At 36.2% G+C, this 21,080-nt stretch overlaps 1 protein-coding gene across 8 annotated transcripts in view, besides 3 other annotated features; it reads right to left on the minus strand.

Annotated features, from left to right (window-relative positions):
• Positions 1-21,080, minus strand: part of CTNNA3 (catenin alpha 3) — a 1,851,072-nt gene that overhangs the window by 1,447,221 nt on the left and 382,771 nt on the right. The window lies entirely within an intron of this gene.
• Positions 6,838-7,007: an enhancer, noted in NCBI's record as "experimental_15668 CRE fragment used in MPRA reporter constructs". NCBI's record gives its function as "activates a minimal promoter by MPRAs in K562 erythroleukemia cells, with activity observed for the non-introgressed 10:69126424 or rs9787459 variant allele {active_cell/tissue: K562}" and the evidence as "EXISTENCE:reporter gene assay evidence [ECO:0000049][PMID:34662402]".
• Position 6,923: a transcriptional cis regulatory region, noted in NCBI's record as "Neanderthal adaptively introgressed variant 10:69126424 (GRCh37/hg19 assembly coordinates) or rs9787459 in the experimental_15668 CRE". NCBI's record gives its function as "modulates activity of the experimental_15668 enhancer by MPRAs in K562 erythroleukemia cells {active_cell/tissue: K562}" and the evidence as "EXISTENCE:reporter gene assay evidence [ECO:0000049][PMID:34662402]".
• Positions 17,508-17,677: an enhancer, noted in NCBI's record as "experimental_15678 CRE fragment used in MPRA reporter constructs". NCBI's record gives its function as "activates a minimal promoter by MPRAs in K562 erythroleukemia cells, with activity observed for both the introgressed and non-introgressed 10:69137094 variant alleles {active_cell/tissue: K562}" and the evidence as "EXISTENCE:reporter gene assay evidence [ECO:0000049][PMID:34662402]".

Raw genomic sequence — 21,080 nt, forward strand, 5'->3', positions numbered from 1 at the left:
TGAGAGAGGAGAGTAAGAAACTTTGAAACATATTTGAGTACCTAGTCCAGGAAAATTTCCCAAGTCTCACTAGAGAAGTCAACATGCAATCCCAAGAAACTCAGAGAACCCTCATGAAATGCTAAACAAGAAGATCATTCTGAAGGCATTTTGTAATCAGACTTTTCTAAGTCAACAAAGAAGGAAAAATCAAAAAGGTAGCTAGAAAAAAGGGTCAGATTACTTCAAAAGGCAACCCCAGCAGGCTAACAGCAGACTTCTCAGTAGGTTTCTACTTTTCAAGCAAGAAAAAATTGGGAGCCTATTTTTGGCATCCCTAAAGAAATGAAATTCCAATCAAGAATTTCAAACCCCACCAAACTAAGCTTCATAGTACAGGAGAAATAAAATCTTTTCTGGACAAGCAAACACTAAGGGAATTTATTACCACTAGCCCGGCTATAAATGAGATCTTTAAGGGAGCCCTAAACATAAAAAAGAAAGAACAACACCTGCTACCATAAAAACATATGTAAGTACAGAGCCCACAGACCCTATAAAGAAACAATGCAATTGAGAATACAAAGCTACAAGCTAATAATATCATGACTGGATCAAAACCTCACATATCAATATTAATCTTGAATGTAAATGATATAGATGCCCCATCTAAAAGGCATAGAGAGCAAGCAGGAAAAAAAAAAAAAAAAAACAAGAACCAAATGTCTTCTCTCTTCAAGAGACCAATCACACATAACAGCCATAGGGGCAAAGTAAAGGGATGGAGAAGCATCTATGTATTAGTCAGTTTTCACATTGCTATAAAGAATACCTGAGACTGGGTAATTTATAAATAAAAGAGGTTTAATTGACTTACAGTTCTACAGACTATACGGGAAGCATAGCAGCTTCTGCTTCTGGGGAGGTCTCAGGGAGCTTCCAATCATGGTGGAAGGCAAAGAGGGAGCAGGCATCTTATATGGCAGGAGCAAGAGCAGAGAGGGGGAGGTGCTACATACTTTTAAACAATCGATCTCATGATAACTCACTCACTATTGCAAAGACAGTACCAAGGGAATGGTACTAAACCATTCATGAGAAATCCACCCCCATGATCCAGTCTCCACTCACCAGGCCACACCTCCAACACTGAGGATTACAATTCGACATGAGATTTGGATAGGAACACATATCCAAACTATATCAGTCTATCACATAAATGGAAAACAAAAAAGAGCAGTGATTGATATTCTTTCATAAGATAAAACAGACTTTAAACCATCTACAGTAAAAAAAAAAAAGAACAAAGAAGGGTATTACATAATGATAAAGTGTTCAATTCAACAAGAAGACTTAACTATCTAAAATATCTCTGCACCCAACATCAGAGCACCCAGATTCAGAACACAACTGCCTATAGACCTACAAAAAGACTTAGATAGTCACATAATAGAGGAGGACTTCAACACACCACTGACAGCATTAGACAGATCACTGAGGCAGAACTCTAACAAAGAAATTATGGACTTATATTTGACACTTGACCAACTGGATCTAATAAACATCTACAGAATACTCCACTCATCAACCACAGAATATACATTCTTCTCATCTGCACACAGAACATACTGCAAGACTGATCACATGCTCAGCCATAAAGCAAGTCTCAAATAACTTTAAAGAATGAAACATACCAACCATACTCTTGGACCACAATGCAATAAAAACAAATCAATACCAATTAAACATCCCAAAACCACACAATTACATTAAAATTAGACAACTTGTTCCTGGAAGACTTTTGGGTAAACAGCAAAATCAAGGCAAAAAATAGAAAATTATTTGAAATTAATGAAAACAGAGATACAACATACCAAAATCTGTGGGATGCAGCAAAAGCAGCATTAAGAGGAAAGTTTAGAGTGCAATATGCCTACATCAAAAAGTCAGAAAGATCTCAAATTAACAATCTAACATTGCAACTATGGGAACTAGAAAAAACAAGAAGAAACTAATTCAAAGCTAACAGAAAATATAAATATCTAAAATCAGAGCAAAACTGAATGGAATTGAAAAGTGAAAATCCACAAAAAGCAGCAACAAAACCAAAAGTTGGTCTTTGAAACAATAAACAAGATCCATACACTGCTAGTCAGAAACAAAGAAAAAAGGAAGAAGATCCAATAAACACAATAAAAAAATGACAATGGTGACATTATAACCAATTTCATAGAAATACAAAAGATCCTCAGAAACTATTATGAACACTATCTATGCATACAAACTAGAAAATCTAGAGGAAATGAATACATTCCTGGAAACACACAACTTCCCAAGATTGAAACAGGAAGAAATTAAAACTCTGACCTGATCAATAACAAGTTCCAAAGTTGAATCAATAATAAAAATTCTACCAACCAATAAAAGCCCTGAACCAGATGGATTTACAGCTGAATTCTACCAGGGATACAAAAAAGAGCTGCTACCAATCCTGCTGAAACTGCTCGAAAAAACAGAGGAGGAGAAACTTCTCCCTAACTCATTGTTCAAAGCCAGCAACATCATCATAATACCAAAACCTGACAAAGACAGGATGAAAAAAGAAAACTACAGGCCAACATCCCTAATGAACATGGATGCAAAAATCCCCAGCAAAATACTAGCAAACCGAATTCAGCAGCACATCAAAAAGTTATTTCACCATGATCAAGTGAGCTTCACTCCAATAATGCAACAGTGATTCAATATATGCAAATCAATAAATGTGATTTACCATATAAACAGAATTAAAAACAAAACCATATATCATCTTAATAGATGCAAAAGAAGATTTTGCCAAAATCCAAAATCCCTTCATGTTAAAAAACCTAACGAGCATATCTCAAAATAATAATAGCCATCTATGACAAACCCACAGCCAACATCATACTGAATGAGCAAAAGCTGGAAGCATTCCCCCTTAAGAACTGGAACAAGAAAAAGATGCCCACTCTCACTACTCATTTTCAACACAGTACTGGAAGTTCTAGCTAGAACATTCAGGCAAGAAAAAGAAATAAAAGGCATTCAAATAGAAAAAAAAAAAAATCAAACTCTCTCTCTTCAGAGATGATATGATTCTATACTTAGAAAACCCTGAAGTCTCTGCCAAAAGGTTTCTAGAACAGATAAACAACTTCAGCAAAGTTTCAGAATACAAAATCAACGTATTAAAATCAATAACATTTCTATACACCAATAACACTCAAGCTGACATCCAAATCAAGAACACAATCCTATTTATTAATACAATATCCACACACAAAAATAAAAGACCTAAGAATTCATCTAACCAAGGAGGTAAAAGATCTCTACAAGGAGATCTACAAAACACTGTTTCAAAGAAACCAGAGATGACACAAAATAAAAATAAAAATAATTCCCTGCTTATTGACAGAAAGAATCAATATCACTAAAATGGCCATATTGCCCAAAGCAATCTACACATTCAATGCTATTCCTATCAAACTACCACCGTTTTTCACAGAATTAGAAAAAAAATTTCTGAAACTCATATAAAACCAAAAAAGAGCCCAAATAGCCAAAGCAATCCTAAGCAAAAAGAACAAAACCAGAGGCATCACACTACATAAATTCAAACTATACTACAAGGCTACAGTAAACAAACAACATAGTACCAGTATAAAAATAGACAAATTCAAAAGCTAGCAGAAGGCAAGAAATAACTAAGATCAGAGCAGAACTGAAAAAGAAAGAGACACACACACACACAAAAAAACTCTTCAAAAAATCAATGAATCCAGGAGCTGGTTTTTTCAAAAAGATCAACAAAATAGATAGACTGCTAGCAAGACTAATAAAGAAGAAAAGAGAGAAGAACAAATAGATGCAATAAAAATAATATAATAATAAAGGGAATATCACCACCAATCCCACAGAAATAGAAACTACCATCAGAGAATACCATAAACACTTCTACGCAAATAAACTAGAAAATCTAGAAAAAATGGATAAATTCCTGGACACATACACTCTCCCAAGACTAAACCAGGAAGAAGTTGAATCTCTGACTACACCAATAACAGGTTCTGAAATTGAGGCAATAATTAATAGCCTACCAATCAAGAACAGTCCAGGACCAGACATATTCACAGCCAAACTCTTCCAGAGGTACAAAGAAGAGTTGGTACCATTCCTTCTGAAACAATTTCCAACCAATAGAAAAAAGAGGGAATCCTCCCAAACTCATTTTATGAGGCAGCATCATCCTGATACCAAAGCCTGGCAGAGACACAACAAAAGAAGAGAATTTTAGGCCAATATGCCTGATGAACATCAATGCAAAAGTCCTCAATAAAATACTGACAAACCCAATCCAGCAGCACATCAAAAAGCTTATCCACCATGATCAAGTCGGCTTCATCTCTGGGATGCAAGGCTGGTTCAACATATGCAAATCAATAAACGTAATCCATCACATAAACAGTACCAATGACAAAAACCACATGATTATCTCAATAGATGCAGAAAAGGCCTTCAACAAAATTCAACAGCCTTTTATGTCAAAAACTCTCAATAAACTAGGTATTGATGGAATGTATCTCATAATAAGAGCTATTTATGACAAACCCACAGCCAATATCATACTGAATGGCAAAAACTGGAAGCATTCCCTTTGAAAATTGGCACAAGACAAGGATGCCCTCTCTCACCACTCCTATTCAATGTAGTGTTGGAAGTCCTGGCCAGGGCAATTAGGCAGGAGAAAGAAATAAAGGGTATTCAATTAGGATACTTCAGCAAAGTCTCAGGATACAAAACCAATGTACAAAAATCACAAGCATTCCTATACACCAATAGCAGACAAACAGAGAGCCAAATCATGAGTGAACTCCCATTCACAATTACTACAAAGAGAATAAAATCTAGGAATCCAACTTAAAAGTGATGTGAAGGCCCTCTTCAAGGAGAACTACAAACCACTGCCCAACAAAATAAAAGAGGACACAAGCAAATGGAAAAACATTCCATGCTCATGGATAGGAAGAATCAAAATCATGAAAATGGCCATACTGCCCAAGGTAATTTATACATTCAATGCCATACCCATCAAGCTACCACTGACTTTCTTCATAGAATTGGAAAAACCTACTTTAAAATTCATATGGAACCAAAAAAGAGCCCACATAGCCAAGACAATCCTAAGCAAAAAGAACAAAGTTGGAGGCATCACACTACCTGACATCAAACTATACTACAAGGCTACAGTAACCAAAACAGCATGGTACTGGTACCAAAACAGAAGCATAGACCAATGCAACAGAACAGAGGCCTCAGAAATAATACCACACATCTACAACTATCTAATCTTTGACAAACCTGACAAAAACAAGAAATGGGGAAAGGATTTCCTATTTAATAAATGGTGCTGGGAAAACTGGCGAACCATATGTAGAAAGCTGAAACAGGATCCCTTCCTTATATCTTATACAAAAAATAACTCAAGATGGAGCACAGACTTAAATGTAAGACCTAACACCATAAAAACCCTAGAAGAAAACCTAGGCAATACCATTCAGGACATAGGCATGGGCAAAGCCTTCATGACTAAAACACCAAAAGCAATGACAACAAAAGCCAAAATAGACAAATGGGATCTAATTAAACTAAAGAGCTTCTGCACAGCAAAAGAAAATACCATCAGAGTGAACAGGCAACCCACATAAAGGGAGAAACATTTTGCAATCTACCCATGTGACAAAGGGCTAATATCCAGAATCTAAAAAGAACTTAAACAAATTTACAAGAAAAAAACAAACAACCCCATCAAAAAGTGGGCAAAGGATATGAACAGACTTTTCTCAAAAGAAGACATTTATGCAGCCAACAGACACATGAAAAAATGCTCATCATCACTGGTCATCAGAGAAATGCAAATCAAAACTATGATGAGATACCATCTCACGCCAGTTAGAATGGCAATCATTAAAAAGTCAGGAAACAACAGATGCTGGAGAGGATGTGAAGAAATAGGAACGCTTTTACACTGTTGATGGGAGTGTAAATTAGTTCAACTATTGTGGAAGACAGTGTGGCAATTCCTCAAGGACCTAGAACTAGAAATACCATTTGACCCAGCCATCCCATTACTGGGTATATACCCAAAGGATTATAAATCATGCTACTATAAAGATGCATGCGCACGTATGTTTATTGCGGCACTATTCACAATAGCAAAGACTTGGACCCAACCCAAATGTCCAACAATGATAGACTGGATTAAGAAAATGTGGCACATATACACCATGGAATACTAAGTTCATGTCCTTTGCAGGGACATGGATGAAGCTGGAAACCATCATTCTAAGTCAACTATCACAAGGACAGAAAACCAAACACTTCATGTTCTCACTCATAGATGGGTGTTGAACAATGAGAACACATGGACACAAGGCAGGGAACATCACACACACCAGGGCCTGTCGGGGGTTGGGGGGCTGAGGGAAGGACAGCATTAGGAGAAATGCCTAATGTAAATGACAAGTTGATGGGTGCAGCAAACCAACATGGCACATGTATACCTATGTAACAAATCTGCATCTTGTGCACATGTATCCTAGAACTTAAAGTATAAAAAATAAAATAAAATAAAGAAAAGAAATTCACTGACATTCAGAAAAAAAAATAGACACATAGTCACCTGAGGTCAGGAGTTCGAGGCCAGCCTGGCCAACATGGTGAAACCCCGTCTCTACTAAAAATACAAAAATCAGCCAGGAGTGGTGGCACATGCCTCCAATCCCAGCTACTTGGGAGGGTGAGGCAGGAGAATTGCTTGAACCTGGGAGGCGGAGGTTGCAGTGAGCAGGAATCCTGCCACTGCACTCCAGCCTGGGTGACAAGAGCAAAACTTCGTCCAAAGGAAAAAAAAAAAGACACATAGATTAATGGGACAGAATAGAGAACAGAAATAAGGCCACACACCTACAACCATCTGCTCTTTGACAAAGTTGATGAAAACATACAATGGGGAAAGAACTCTCTACTCCCTATTCAATAAATGATGCTGAGATAACTGGCTATCCATATGCAGAAGAATAAAACTGGACCCCTACCTCTAACTACATACAAACATTAACTCAAGATGGATTAAACTATCCTCTAAAACTGTGAGAAATAAATTTGTTGTTTAGGTTAAAAATTTTCAAAAAGTTTAAAAAAAAAGGTGGATTGCAGACTTAAATGCAAAACCTAAAACTAAAAATATTCTAGAAGAAAAGCTAGGAAATGCCTTTTTAGACATCAGCCTTGGAAAAGAATTTATGGCTAAGTCCTGCAATTGCAACAAAAATGAAAAAGTGGGACCTAATTAAACTAAAGTGCTTCTGCAAAGCAAAAGAAACTATCAACAGAATAAAAAGACAACCTACAGAGTTGGTGATAATATTCACAAACTAGGTATCCAACAATGGTCTAAAATCCAGACTCTATAAGGAACTTAGAAAATTCAACAAGCGAAAAACAAATAACCCCATTAAAAAGTGGACAAAGAACATTAACAGACATTTCTCAAAAGAAGACATACAAGTGGCCACCAAACATACGAAAAAAATATTCAACATCATTAATCAAAACTATGAGATCCCATCTTACACAAGTCAGAATGTCTATTAATAAAAAGTCAAAAAAAAAACAGATGTTGGTGAAGGCTACAGAGAAAAGTAAATGCCTATAAACTGTTTGTGGGAATGTCAATTAGTTTAGCCACTGTGAAACACAGTTTGGAGATTTATCAAAGTACTAAAAATAGAATTACCATGCGAACAGCAATCCCAATACTAGGGATATATCCAAAGGACAATTATTCATTCAACCAAAAAGACACACACACCCAGATCTTCATCACAGCACTATTCACAATAGCAAAGACATGGAATCAACCTAGGTGCCCGTCAAAAGTGAACTGGATAAAGAAAATGTCGAATACAGTATGCCCATAAAAAATAACGAAGTCTTGTTTTTTGCACCAATATGGCTGCAGCTGGAAGCCAATATCCTAAGTGAACTAATGCAGAAACAGAAAACCACATACTGTATGTTCTTGCTTATAAGTGGGAGCTAAACATTGGATGCACATGGGCATAAAAATGGTGACAACAAGAGTGCGGAAAAAGGGAGAAAGGAAAGTGTTGAAAAACTAATCATTGGGTACTATGCTCAGTATGTGGGTGATAGGTTTAATTGTATCCCAAATCTCAGCATCACACAACACACCCTTGTAAAAAACCTGCGCATGTACCCCTTGAATCTAAAACAGAAGCTGGTGGGAAAAGGGCTTACAGAGCTCCAAAAAAAATGAATGAAAAAGTACACCACGGAATGGGAGAAAATATTCGAAAAATAAATGTCCCACAAAGGACTTATACCTAGAATATTTAAAGAAGTTTTACAACTTGATAGAAGGACAAACAAAAGATTGAACCTAACAGGCATCTCACCAAAGAAGATGTAGAGATGGCAAATAAGCACGTGAGATGTTTAACATCATTAGTTATTAAGGAAATAGAAGTTAAAACCAAATTGAGATAGTTCTACATGCTCACTAGAATGGCTGAAATTTAAAAGGCTGACCATAAAAAGACTATTGGCAAGGATGTGGACCACTGAAACTCTCATACACAGATAGTGGGAATGTAAAATGGCACAACTCCTTTGGAAAACAGTTTGATGATTTCTTAAAAGTGTAAAAATACATCTACCATGTGACTAAGCCACTGCACTCCTAGATATTTGCTCAAGATAAATCAAAATGTCTCTTTACACAAAAACTTAAATACATGAATGTTCATGACAGTTGTACTCGTAATAGCCTAAAACTGGAAACAACCCAAGCATCTATCAGCAGCTAAATAAATAAACGAATAATGGTATCCATACAATGGAATACTATTTCACAATATTTAAAACTACTGATAAACACAACATGATGGATGAATCTCAAAATAATTATGCTGAGTGAAAAAAAGCTACATAAAAAGAGCACATGTTATATAATTCCATGTCTATAAAATTCCAGAAATGTGAATTAATCTACAGTGACATAAAGCAGATCAGTGGTTACCTGTGGAGAGGAGGAAGAGAGACACAGGAGGCAGAAAAGGGAAACATTGCAGACGGGCAAGAGAAAACTTTAGGGAGAGATTGGTACATTTACTATCTTGACTATGGTGATGGTTTCACCATCGACATATTTCAAAACTCATCAAATTGTACACTTAAAATGTATGCACTCTACTTTAGGGGCTGAAGCAGGGGGATCTTTTGAGCCTAAAAGCTAGAAGGTAGCCTGGGCAACACAGCAAAACCCTGTCACTAAAATATGTATGTATAATGCATTACATATATTAAACCTCAATAAATCTATTTTTAAAGCCTTGGTAATTAAAATACTGATGCTGTAAGATGAATAGGAAGAATTAAAAATCCAAAAATAGATTCAAATACATAAACGAATGCATTCTGTGAAAAAAGTGATATCTCAAACAAGTTAGGAGACTTGCTGGTCAAGACTTGCTCTTGGAAAAACTGGATAAACATCCAGAAAAAATTAAATAAGATTGAATCCATACCTCACATTATATCATTATATTCCAGATGCATATATTCTAAATAGATCAAAGATTTGCTTGTAGAAAGTGCAACCATGTGATAATTCCTTTTCAACCTTGGGCCTGCGAGCTAACTATGACTGAGTCAATAAAAGAAAAAAATGTATAAATCTGACAACAATTAAAATCTTCTCCATGGCGAAAATACACCATAAGCAAATTCAAAAGACAACAATCTGGAAAAAGTGTAATTGCAAGTCATATTACAAAGAGTTAATCTACTCAATATTTTAAAAGCTCCTAAAAATCAGTAAGCAAAAGAAGTCCAGTAACTCAAAAGAAAATGGGTAAAGAATGTGAACAAATATGCATATGTACAGATAAAGATGCTTAACCTTTCTAATAAAAAATGCAAATTAAAATAACACTAGATAATATCTTTTGCCTATCAGCTTAGAAAAATAACCAAAGTTAAAGACACTGTTAGTTAGGCTTCAGCATGCAGGTATTCTCATACACCATGAGAATGTAAATTAGTACCACCATTTTGGAGGACACTTTGGCAATATCTGTACAAATTACAAATGCATATGCCCTTTAACCCCAAACTTTCACTTCTGAGAATTTATCCTACAAATAACACTTGCATGCCTATGAAGTTGTATATATGCATGTGTAGGTGTGTCTACATACTTAAGTGTATGTATGTATATATGTATGTATGTGTGTATATATATAGTTATTACTTACATTATTCTGTGTAATGGCAAAAGATTGAAAATCATTAAAATGTCCATCAATAAAGGACTGGTCAAACAAATTTTGGTATGTCTATATAATTGAATACTATAAAGCTGTTACAAAAAATAAGGCAGATCTCTATATGCTGATGTGGAAAGATCTCCACTTGATTTTTTTTTATTCAGGTTTCATCATTTTACTTTTTTCACAAAATTTGTGTATGTGACTCACATCAATTCATTTTGATATATAATTTATTTCTGATATTTTGTTTATTTGAAGTGACAGGTAACTGGGTAATTATCTATACTCTGCTTTTACCATGTATTTTATTTCTAGGTAAATTTGAAAAATCTGAAGTATTTTTCTAAATTTGATCATGGTTTATTTGACAGTTTACAAGTACTTGCAGGCATGTGTTTGCATGCGAATAACGACAAATAGCTAAGAAATCTTACAATAGTATAGTTTCATAATTTGGGGGTCCTGGTTATACATTTTACATCTGTAGGTTAGGAATGCATATTGTTAATTTCCCTTCATGGTTCCTTATAACTAAACTCTGTTTAGTAAGATTTTCTACTTATCAAAGGCATAATAACTCACTATTTGGTATATTTGCTCTTTAATGTGACATATGACATATTTTCTGTGGATAAGGAGAACTCTGTATTTGTGTGTATATGTACATATAATGTTTTCAACTAATCACTATTTCAGAGAAAAAACAGATGAAAAGAAACTTGTTTGCATTACATTAAATATAATCCTATACATGTTAAGAGGAAGTTTTTTTTGTTTTTTTTTTTTTTTGAGACAGAGTCTCGCTCTGTCGCCCAGGCTGGAGTGCAGTGGCGGGATCTCGGCTCACTGCAAGCTGCGCCTCCCGGGTTCACGCCATTCTCCTGCCTCAGCCTCCCAAGTAGCTGGGACTACAGGCGCCCGCCGCTACGCCCGGCTAATTTTTTGTATTTTTAGTAGAGACGGGGTTTCACCGTTTTAGCCTGGATGGTCTCGATCTCCTGACCTCTTGATCCGCCCGCCTCGGCCTCCCAAAGTGCTGGGATTACAGGCGTGAGCCACCGCGCCCGGCCAAGAGGAAGTTTTACAGCAAGAAATTGTTCCTTTTTTTCTTCCCATTTTTCTTTTTATATATACATATTTTTTTTCTATTATACTTTAAGTTCTAGGGTACATGTGCATAATGTGCAGGTTTGTTACATATGTATACATGTGCCATGTTGGTGTGCTGCACCCATTAACTCGTCATTTACATTAGGTATATCTCCTAATGCTATCCCTCCCCCCTCCCCCCATCCCACAACAGGCCCCAGTGTGTGATGTTCCCCTTCCTGTGTCCATGTGTTCTCATTGTTCAATTCCCACCAATGAGTGAGAACATGTGGTGTTTGGTTTTTTGTCCTTGCAATAGTTTGCTGAGAATGATAGTTTCCAGCATCATCGATGTCCCTGCAAAGGACATGAACTCATCTTTCTTATGGTGTCATAGTATTCCATGGTGTATATGTGCCACATTTTCTTAATCCAGTCTATCATTGATGGACATCTGGGTTGGTTCCAAGTCTTTGCTATTGTGAATAGTGCTGCAATAAACATATGTGTGCATGTGTCTTTATAGCAGCATGATTTATAATCCTTTGGGTATATACCCAGTAATGGGATGGCTGGGTCAAATGGTATTTCTAGTTCTAGATCCCTGAAGAATCACCACACTGTCTTCCACAATGGTTCAACTAGTTTACAGTCTGACCTACAGTATAAAAGTGTTCCTATTTCTCCACATCCTCTCCAGCACCTGCTGTTTCCTGACTTTTTAATGATTGCCATTCTAACTGGTGTGAGATGGTATCTCATTGTGGTTTTGATTTGCATTTGTCTGATGGCCAGTGATGATGAGCATTTTTTCATCTGTCTGTTGGCTGCATAAATGTCTTCTTTTGAGAAGTGTCTGTTCATATCTTTCGCCCACTTGCTGATGGGTTGTTTTTTTTTTCTTGTAAATTTGTTTGAGTTCTTTGTAGATTCTGGATATTAGCCCTTTGTCAGATGAGTAGATTGCAAAAATTTTCTCCCATTCTGTAGGTTGCCTATTCACTCTGATGGTATTTTCTTTTGCTGTGCAGAAGCTCTTGAGTTTAATTAGATCCCATTTGTCAATTTTGGCTTTTGTTGCCATTGCTTTTGGTGTTTTAGACATGAAGTCCTTGCCCATGCCTATGTCCTGAATGGTAATGCCTAGGTTTTCTTCTGGGGTTTTTATGGTTTTAGGTCTAACATTTAAGTCTTTAATCCATATTGAATTATGAAATGAAGCGTGAAGAGAAGTTTAGAGAAAAAAGAATAAAAAGAAACGAATAAAGCCTCCAAGAAATATGGGACTATGTGAAAAGACCAAATCTACGTCTGATTGGTGTACCTGAAAGTGATAGGGAGAATGGAACCAAGTTGGAAAACACTCTGCAGGATATTATCCAGGAGAACTTCCCCAACCTAGCAAGGCAGGCCAACATTCAAATTCAGGATATACAGAGAACACCACAAAGATACTCCTCGAGAAGAGCAACTCCAAGACACATAATTGTCAGATTCACCAAAGTTGAAATGAAGGAAAAAATGTTAAGGGCAGCCAGAGAGAAAGGTCGGGTTACCCACAAAGGGAAGCCCATCAGACTAACAGCAGATCTCTCGGCAGAAACTCTACAAGCCAGAAGAGACTGGGGGCCAATATTCAACATTCTTAAAGAAAAGAATTTTCAACCCAGAATTTCATATCCAGCCAAACTAAGCTTCATAAGTGAAGGAGAAATAAAATACTTTATAGACAAGCAAATGCTGAGAGATTTTGTCACCACCAGGCCTGCCCTAAAAGACCTCCTGAAGGAAGTACTAAACATGGAAAGGAACAACCGGTACCAGCCACTGCAAAAACATGCCAAATTGTAAAGACCATCGAGGCTAGGAAGAAACTGCATCAACTAACGTGCAAAATCACCAGCTAACATAATAATGACAGGATGATTCACACATAACAATATTAACCTTAAATGTAAATGGGCTAAATGCTCCAATTAAAAGACACAGACTGGCAAATTGGATAAAGAGTCAAGACCCATCAGAGTGCTGTATTCAGGAAACCCATCTCACATGCAGAGACATGCATAGCTCAAAATAAAGGGATGGAGGAAGATCTACCAAGCAAATGGAAAACAAAAAAAAGGCAGGGATTGCAATCTTAGTCTCTGATAAAACAGACTTTAAATCAATAAAGATCAAAAGAGACAAAGAAGGCCATTACATAATTGTAGAGGGATAAATTCAACAAGAAGAGCTAACTATCCTAAATATATATGCACCCAATACAGGAGCACCCAGATTCATAAAGCAAGTCCTTGGAGACGTACAAAGAGACTTAGACTCCCACACAACAATAATGGGAGACTTTAACACCCAACTGTCAACATTAGACAGATCCATGAGACAGAAAGTTAACAAAGATATCCAGGAATTGAACTCAGCTCTGCACCAAGATCTCCACTTGTTAAGTGAAAAAGATCTCCCACAATGTTAAGTGAAAAAAAGCAAGCTACAGAGGAGTTGTATAGTTGTTACTTTTCTGTAAAATGATGGGGTAATAAGAATCTATATTTATGTTTTCTTATATATATAAAGAGTCTCTGGAAAGATACATAAGAAACACATAATTTTGATTACCCTGATGGATGGGTGGGGTTGTATAGATGAGGGCAGAGAAGTCAAGGGAAACTTCACTGTACATTTCATATATAATTTTTCTGATCTGTTTATATATCTGTCTCTCCCCTGAAAACAACATGCTATGCCCCATGGGGTCAGGCACTTAGTTGTAATGTTTAATGTAATGTTTATGTTTATCTCCAGTGCCTCAAATGGTTCCTAGCAAATGGTAGAACTTTTGTAAAACTTATTTTTTGATAGAAGTGCACATTTTAAAAACTTTCAGACCACTGTAGTAAATTATGTCTAGATTTCCTTACAGCTCTAGAGTAGGTTTCAGCAAAATTTTTCTATAAAGAGCCAGATACTAAATATTTTAAGGTTTGTTGGCCATATGGTCTCTGTCACGATTACTCAACTCTGCTTTTATGGTACAAAAGCAGCCACAGACAATAAGTAAACAAGTGGGTGTGACTGTGTTCTAATAAAATATTATTTATAACAACAGGTAGCCAGCCAGATTTGGTCCAAGGGCTGTAGTTTGCCCAACTCTGTTCTGGAATTTTGTTTCTCTGATTATCCATCAGTTGAACCTTGAAAGGTATGTAAGATTTCCATCTTTCAAAATAAAAAAATTGGATAACGAATGAACGAATAAATAAATAAATAAATATTAACCAACTTTTCCATAAGGAAGAGTTATTCATATTCTTATTCATCCGATCTTATTCATCAGATTTACTTCTTTTATATTGGGCTATATGATACTGTATCTCTAATGAGACTTTTTTGCTTTAAATCCACTGCATTTTATTTTATTAATTTATAATTTTTATTGGTACATATTAGGTGTATATATTTATGGAGTACATGAGATATTTTGTTACAGGTAAATAATGTCTAGTGAGGTGACTTTTGAACAGGGACTTGAAGGAAGTAAAGCAGCAATCTATATGGTTAGCTAAGGGAAGAGGGCCTCAGGGAGAAGAAACAGTCAACATAAGCTACTTGAAGAGAAAATTTGCTTGGCTTGTCTTAAAACTATTTTTAATAATTTCATTAAAGCAAAAAATTCTACATTATAGAACACCAAATATACAACTTATTTAGTTTAATATACAAATATATATCTCTTAAGAACACAACTCCAAAATGAAAATATTTAGATATTAAGTTAGGACATAAATAGACTAATCATTTAATGATACAACTCCAGGAGGCACATAGCCCTAAGACATGTTTGACACCGACATACTAAAAGTTGAAGATGCTATTTATTATCCTGCCCAAATTATTTAAATTATTTTAGTGTATGCTTGGTCTTGCCATGATTGTGAGAAGAGCACAGAGACATCAGAGGATCTAGTTTCTTATCCTAACTCTACCACTAACTAGCCATGTGACAAGTTTTTAATGGTAAACACAGGAGTTGAACTAGATAATGCCTACTCTTCCTATATAACATTCAGCAATATCTGGATAAATTATTGGGTATCACAATGAGTCAAGGTCAGGGATGCTCTTAAAAACCTGCAATGGGCCGGGTGCAGTGGCTCATGCCTGTAATCCCAGGACTTTGGGAAGCCGAGGTGGACAGATCACCTGAGGTCAGGAGTTCACAACCAGCCTAGCCAACATGGCGAAACCCTGTCTCTGCTAAAAATACAAAAAAATTAGCCTAGCTGGGCGTGATGGCATGTTACTGTAATCCCAGCTACTCGGGAAGCTGAGGCAAGAGAATCGCTTCAACTCGGGAGGCAGAAGTTGCAGTGAGCCAAGAGCACTCCACCCTGGGCAATAGAGCAAGACTCTGTCTCAAAAAAAAAACAAAAACCTGCAATGCAGAGGACATCTCACACAATAATTATTCAACACTAAATGTCAATAGTGCCAAGGTTAAGAAACCCTGTCCTAATGAAAAGGATTCTTCTCTACTTCATTGAAGGTGGTCAATGACTATCATATATTAATTAGGAATCCTTCTGGCTAACAAAACCTGAAATAAATGGTAGTTTAATTTTCTGAAAACAAATTCATAAGGGTGGCTGCCAACAACAGAACAGCTTCAAGAACTCATAGGCTAACCCCCAAAGTGATGATATTAGAAGGTGGGACCTTTTGGGAGGTGATTAGTTCAGGAAGGCGGAACCCTTATGAATAGGATCAGTGCTCTTATAAAAGAGGCCAAAAGGAACCCATTTACCTTCTACCTTGAGAGAACAGAGCAGGAAGGCACTGTCTATGAGAAAGTGGGCCCTCACCAGCTGCCAAATATACCAGTGCCTTGATCTTAAACTTCCCAAACTCCAGAACTGTGAAAAATAAACTCCAGTTGTTTATAAGCTACCTAGTTTGTGGCATTTTGTTACAGCAGACCAAATGGACTAAGACAGGGAGAAAGCAGTAGTACTAGCCACATCTATGTCTTTTATCAGGAAAGCAAAATCTAACACCTTAGGGGACAGAACTACCTTCAAGGGAGGTCAGGAAAGTCACTTAACCCTCACTGCCTGCAAGGGAGGCTGGACTAGTAAACACTTAGCTTCCTTAGACTTCATAGTGGAGTCTGGCAAAAGAGAAGAGGATTGGAAATTGGTCTTAGGTTAATCAGTTAATAGAGCCTACCTTATAGTCAATATCCTCTCACATGAATTAAGATGAATACTAAATAATAAATAAGTCCTCATCAAACAGTTGATTTCTGGGATTTCCTCCTTGGTAGAGATGAAAGAATAGGTGCGTAAGGACTACAAATCTAATTCATATAGCTCACCGATGCTCTGTGGACAATGTCATTTAAAAAGTGGTGCTTTCTTCTTTAATTGACCCACTGTTCACACATTCAGCTTTATGTTATGCTATGGTTAGATATTAAGTTAGGACGTAGACAAAAGAAACTAGTAAGCCAAGTATCCCTCTTTCATAGCAGAGTAAGAGACAAACTAAAAAGCTATCAACCAGAGACTAACATCGTGAAAAATCTTGGAAACCCTCTTAAGGGAACTCTTGGAAAAGTAGTTTAATTACAGAGAACAATCTCAATTGCTGCAGGAAAAGCCATTCCTAACTAACCTGCCAGGGCACTTCAGAGATATTACAGCCTTGATACGAGAAAGTCAATACACATCAAAGCTCAAAGATATATGTTAGAGCCCATAGCTATGATGCCTTTTGAATCTGCTCAGCGCCATCCAAGCAAGTGGTATAAATTCAAGATTATTTGGCTTATATTTAAAATGAAAAAGGCATGTTTGCATTCCAGTGCACAGATAAAAGTGCTCTCTTCCTCTAGGGATGAATATATCCTAACCAGTTTAACATACTTTAGTTTGGATTTCTGTTTGGTACAGTAACAATGTAGACCCTGCTAAACTTTATGTAATCCACAGTAGATGTAATATATTCAGATTTTCAAACAGACCTAAAAAGATTTAACCTCTGAGATTGCTGTTAAAAAGAAAACCTTCTGTACTAGAAAGTAGAATGTGTATGTAGCAGCATCAGGGAGAAGAAAGAAGATGTATATTAAGGAAAGAATGAGAAGTCACCAATAGGAAAATTTGTCAGAATAAGTTAAGAGTAGGGACTAGTTGAAATCTCCTAGGTCTTTTCAGTTTAGCATTTCCTTCTCTAGAGGGAAATTCTATGAAGTACTTTTCTATTATAAACTTGAATTTCTCATCCTAATACTTTCCAAATAAAATTATTTTACACTAACATTCAACGACTGATTTAAAGTACAGGGTCTGGAAATTTGGGGATAAATTGTTTTAAATTTTTTGCAGGTTGCTGAATTCTGAGATGTTTTTGCTCTAACTATTCTTTCTCTATAAAAAGAGCTTATTTTAAAAAAAATTTTCATTGACATATAATAATTATATACATTTATGGAGTACATAGTGATGTTTCAATGCCTATAATGTATGGTGATCAGAGCAGGGTAATTAGCATATCTACCATCTAAAACATTTGTCATTTCTTTGTGTTGGGAACATTCAGTTTCTTCCTTCTAGGAGTTTGAAACTACATAATATATTATTGTTAATTATAGTCATCCTACAGTGCTAGAGAACACCAGAACTTATTCCTCCTATCTTGCTGTAACTTTTTTTTTAAGAGACAGTCTTGCTCTGTCACCCAGGCTGGAGTAGTAGCACAATCATAGCTCACTGCAGCCTTGAACTCCTGGGTTCAAGCCACCCCCACACTTCAGCCTCCCAAGTAACTGGGACTACAGGCGCATGCCACAAAACAAGGCTTCTAGCTTTAATTTTGTACCCTTTAACAAATCTCTATCACCTTCTTCCCCCTACCCTTCTCAGACCCTAGTGTCCTATGTTCTACTTTTTACTTTTTTTTATGTTTTAATGTTTTGTATAATTACAGTGATATTTGTTCCAAACCTCAAACTGGGACACTTAATATAACAAAAGATTTTAAACATTTTGAGAATTTTTAAAATTTTAACTTGTTATTTTGAAATAACTTTAGACTTACAAAAGAGTTGTCATAATGATACAGAGAGTTTCTGTATATCTATTGCCCAGCTTTCTCAAATGTTAACATCACTAATGTTAACATCCTACATAACCAGGTATGGTTATCAAAACTAAGAAACGAATATTTGTGTAGAACACTATTAACAAATGCCAGACTTTATTAGAGTTCTACCATTCTTTTTTAATGGATGTCCTTATTCTGTTTCAGGGTCCAATCAAAGATGTTATGAAACATTTTGTGGTCATCTTCTTTTGTCTCCTCAGATCTGTGAGAATTCTGTGAGAAAGACAGTCTCCATCTTTCCTGTTCTTTCATAACCTTGACATGTTTGGAAAGTCCCTCATCCACGTATGACTTAGAACATGCAGTTTTTAACTGTCTGTTCCTGACTTATTTCACTTAACAGTGTCCTCCAGTTCCAACCATGTTGCTGTGAATGACAGGATTTCATTCTTTTTATGGCTGAATAGTGTTAATGGAATATATACACAATGGTGTATATATACCACATTTTTTATTTAATAGATCATTTTATGCCCTTTAGAATTTATTTAGTTGCTATCATAATAAGTAACATATAAGGGCAATTCCATTGAAGCATTCTGGACTTTGGCTAGGTAACTGAACAATTATGAGATACATGTCAAATAATGGGCACTTGATACATTTCTGTTGCCATTTGTCATTTTCAATTGTCGTTTGTCTACATTGACAAATGCAGAGCTTCTTCACTGTGTTTGTGTACCTAACTGCATCAACCATTTAAAAGGTATCTAAAAATCTATGTCTAGGAATTCTAAATACAAGATTTGACCTTTTGTGGAAAATACTACATATGTCTTAAAATATTTCTCTGTTTAAAACATAATATTACATTATTATAAAGTTGCCATGAGCATAATTCTGTCTTTTATTTTTTAATACTCATCCAAAGACCACATTGTATAGTGAAAATAGCATAGAAGTAGGAGTCAGGATGCCTGTGTTTCAGCTCTAGCCCCCCGCTTGGACAAGTCTCTTAAAATCCTCAAGCCTCAGATTCATCTTCTACAAAACGAAGGTGATATAACTTCCTTGCCTAGTTCACAGGGCAACTATGATCATTATATGCTATGATCCTTATGAAAGTGTTTATAAATTGAAAGGCATTATACAAAGATATTAATATAGTTAAATATAAACAAGAATATGGCATATAACCCTTGGTGGGGAAAATGGACTAAAAATATATTTAGAAAGTATCATGCGAATATGAACATCACATTGCTTTTCCCAAAGGTAAAGCAAACAAGTTTATACTTTAAAGGCTCTTGGTAATTTTTTAAATAGGATCAATAGGTGACAGGTCCACACTTAATACAAGCCATCTGATCTAGAATAGGAAATCCAAGACTTTAGAGTACAATGAGGTGAAAATCCTAAACCATGAGTAGAGCATAGAATTAGTCTGGAGAGGCCGGGCGCGGTGGCTCACGCCTGTAATCCCAGCACTTTGGGAGGCCGAGGCGGGCGGATCACGAGGTCAGGAGATCGAGAGCATCCCGGCTAAAACGGTGAAACCCCGTCTCTACTAAAAATACAAAAAATTAGCCGGGCGTAGTGGCGGGCGCCTGTAGTCCCAGCTACTTGGGAGGCTGAGGCAGGAGAATGGTGTGAACCCGGGAGGCGGAGCTTGCAGTGAGCCGAGATCCCGCCACTGCACTCCAGCCTGGGCGACAGAGTGAGACTCCGTCTCAAAAAAAAAAAAAAAAAAAAAAAGAATTAGTCTGGAGAGCAAACAGAACACTTACAGTAGGGGCATTATGCCTGTTATCAAACTAATCTAATTTCTATGTAAGGCAATGTTCTTTTGTATTTTGCTGAAGAAGAAATAAGAGGAATCTGAGAGGTCTTAGAAACTAATTTTTGAAAGATTATATTTTCATTCAAAATGGATCAGATAAAGTTCTAAAGTCTAAGAAAATCTAAGGTACGATGTGAGCAACATGAAATTTTTCATTCCACTTAGAAATTCTGAAAAAAGAGAACATACTATAACCAGTGAAATGGGAATGAAAATTCAAGTAAAACCTTTTCATGAAAGATTATTCAATAAATAAAAGAATATTCCTGGAGATTAACTGTAATCTTCCAAGAGGCATAGGTGCATAGGTGGCTCCTTTCATGGGTTGTGTATAAAAGTTAATTCAACAAATATGCATTGAGTTAGTACCTAAAATATCATAGGTAATAGGGAGGAAACAGTATGTGGCATGACCTGTACTTATGAAAGACTAAAGGATCAATATCTTTTACAACTAAGAGAAAGTTTGATATACTCAACTGTCTAAATGAATGGTACATATTCTATATGCACAGATGCTTCCACATTTGTTAATGAGTACTAAGGGCAAATAGGGAAGACGAAAACAGTAGGAATACAAAAGAAGGGTTTCATGAAGAAGTGGAGGCCAGAGACTGGTCTTACAGAACTGATATGATTTGAGTAAGGGAGAGAGCAACTACTATAAATGGAGCAAATTCCTTATTTGCAATCTT

The sequence above is a fragment of the Homo sapiens genome, chromosome 10, assembly GCF_000001405.40.
Source record: "Homo sapiens chromosome 10, GRCh38.p14 Primary Assembly".
Lineage (NCBI taxonomy): Eukaryota > Metazoa > Chordata > Mammalia > Primates > Hominidae > Homo > Homo sapiens.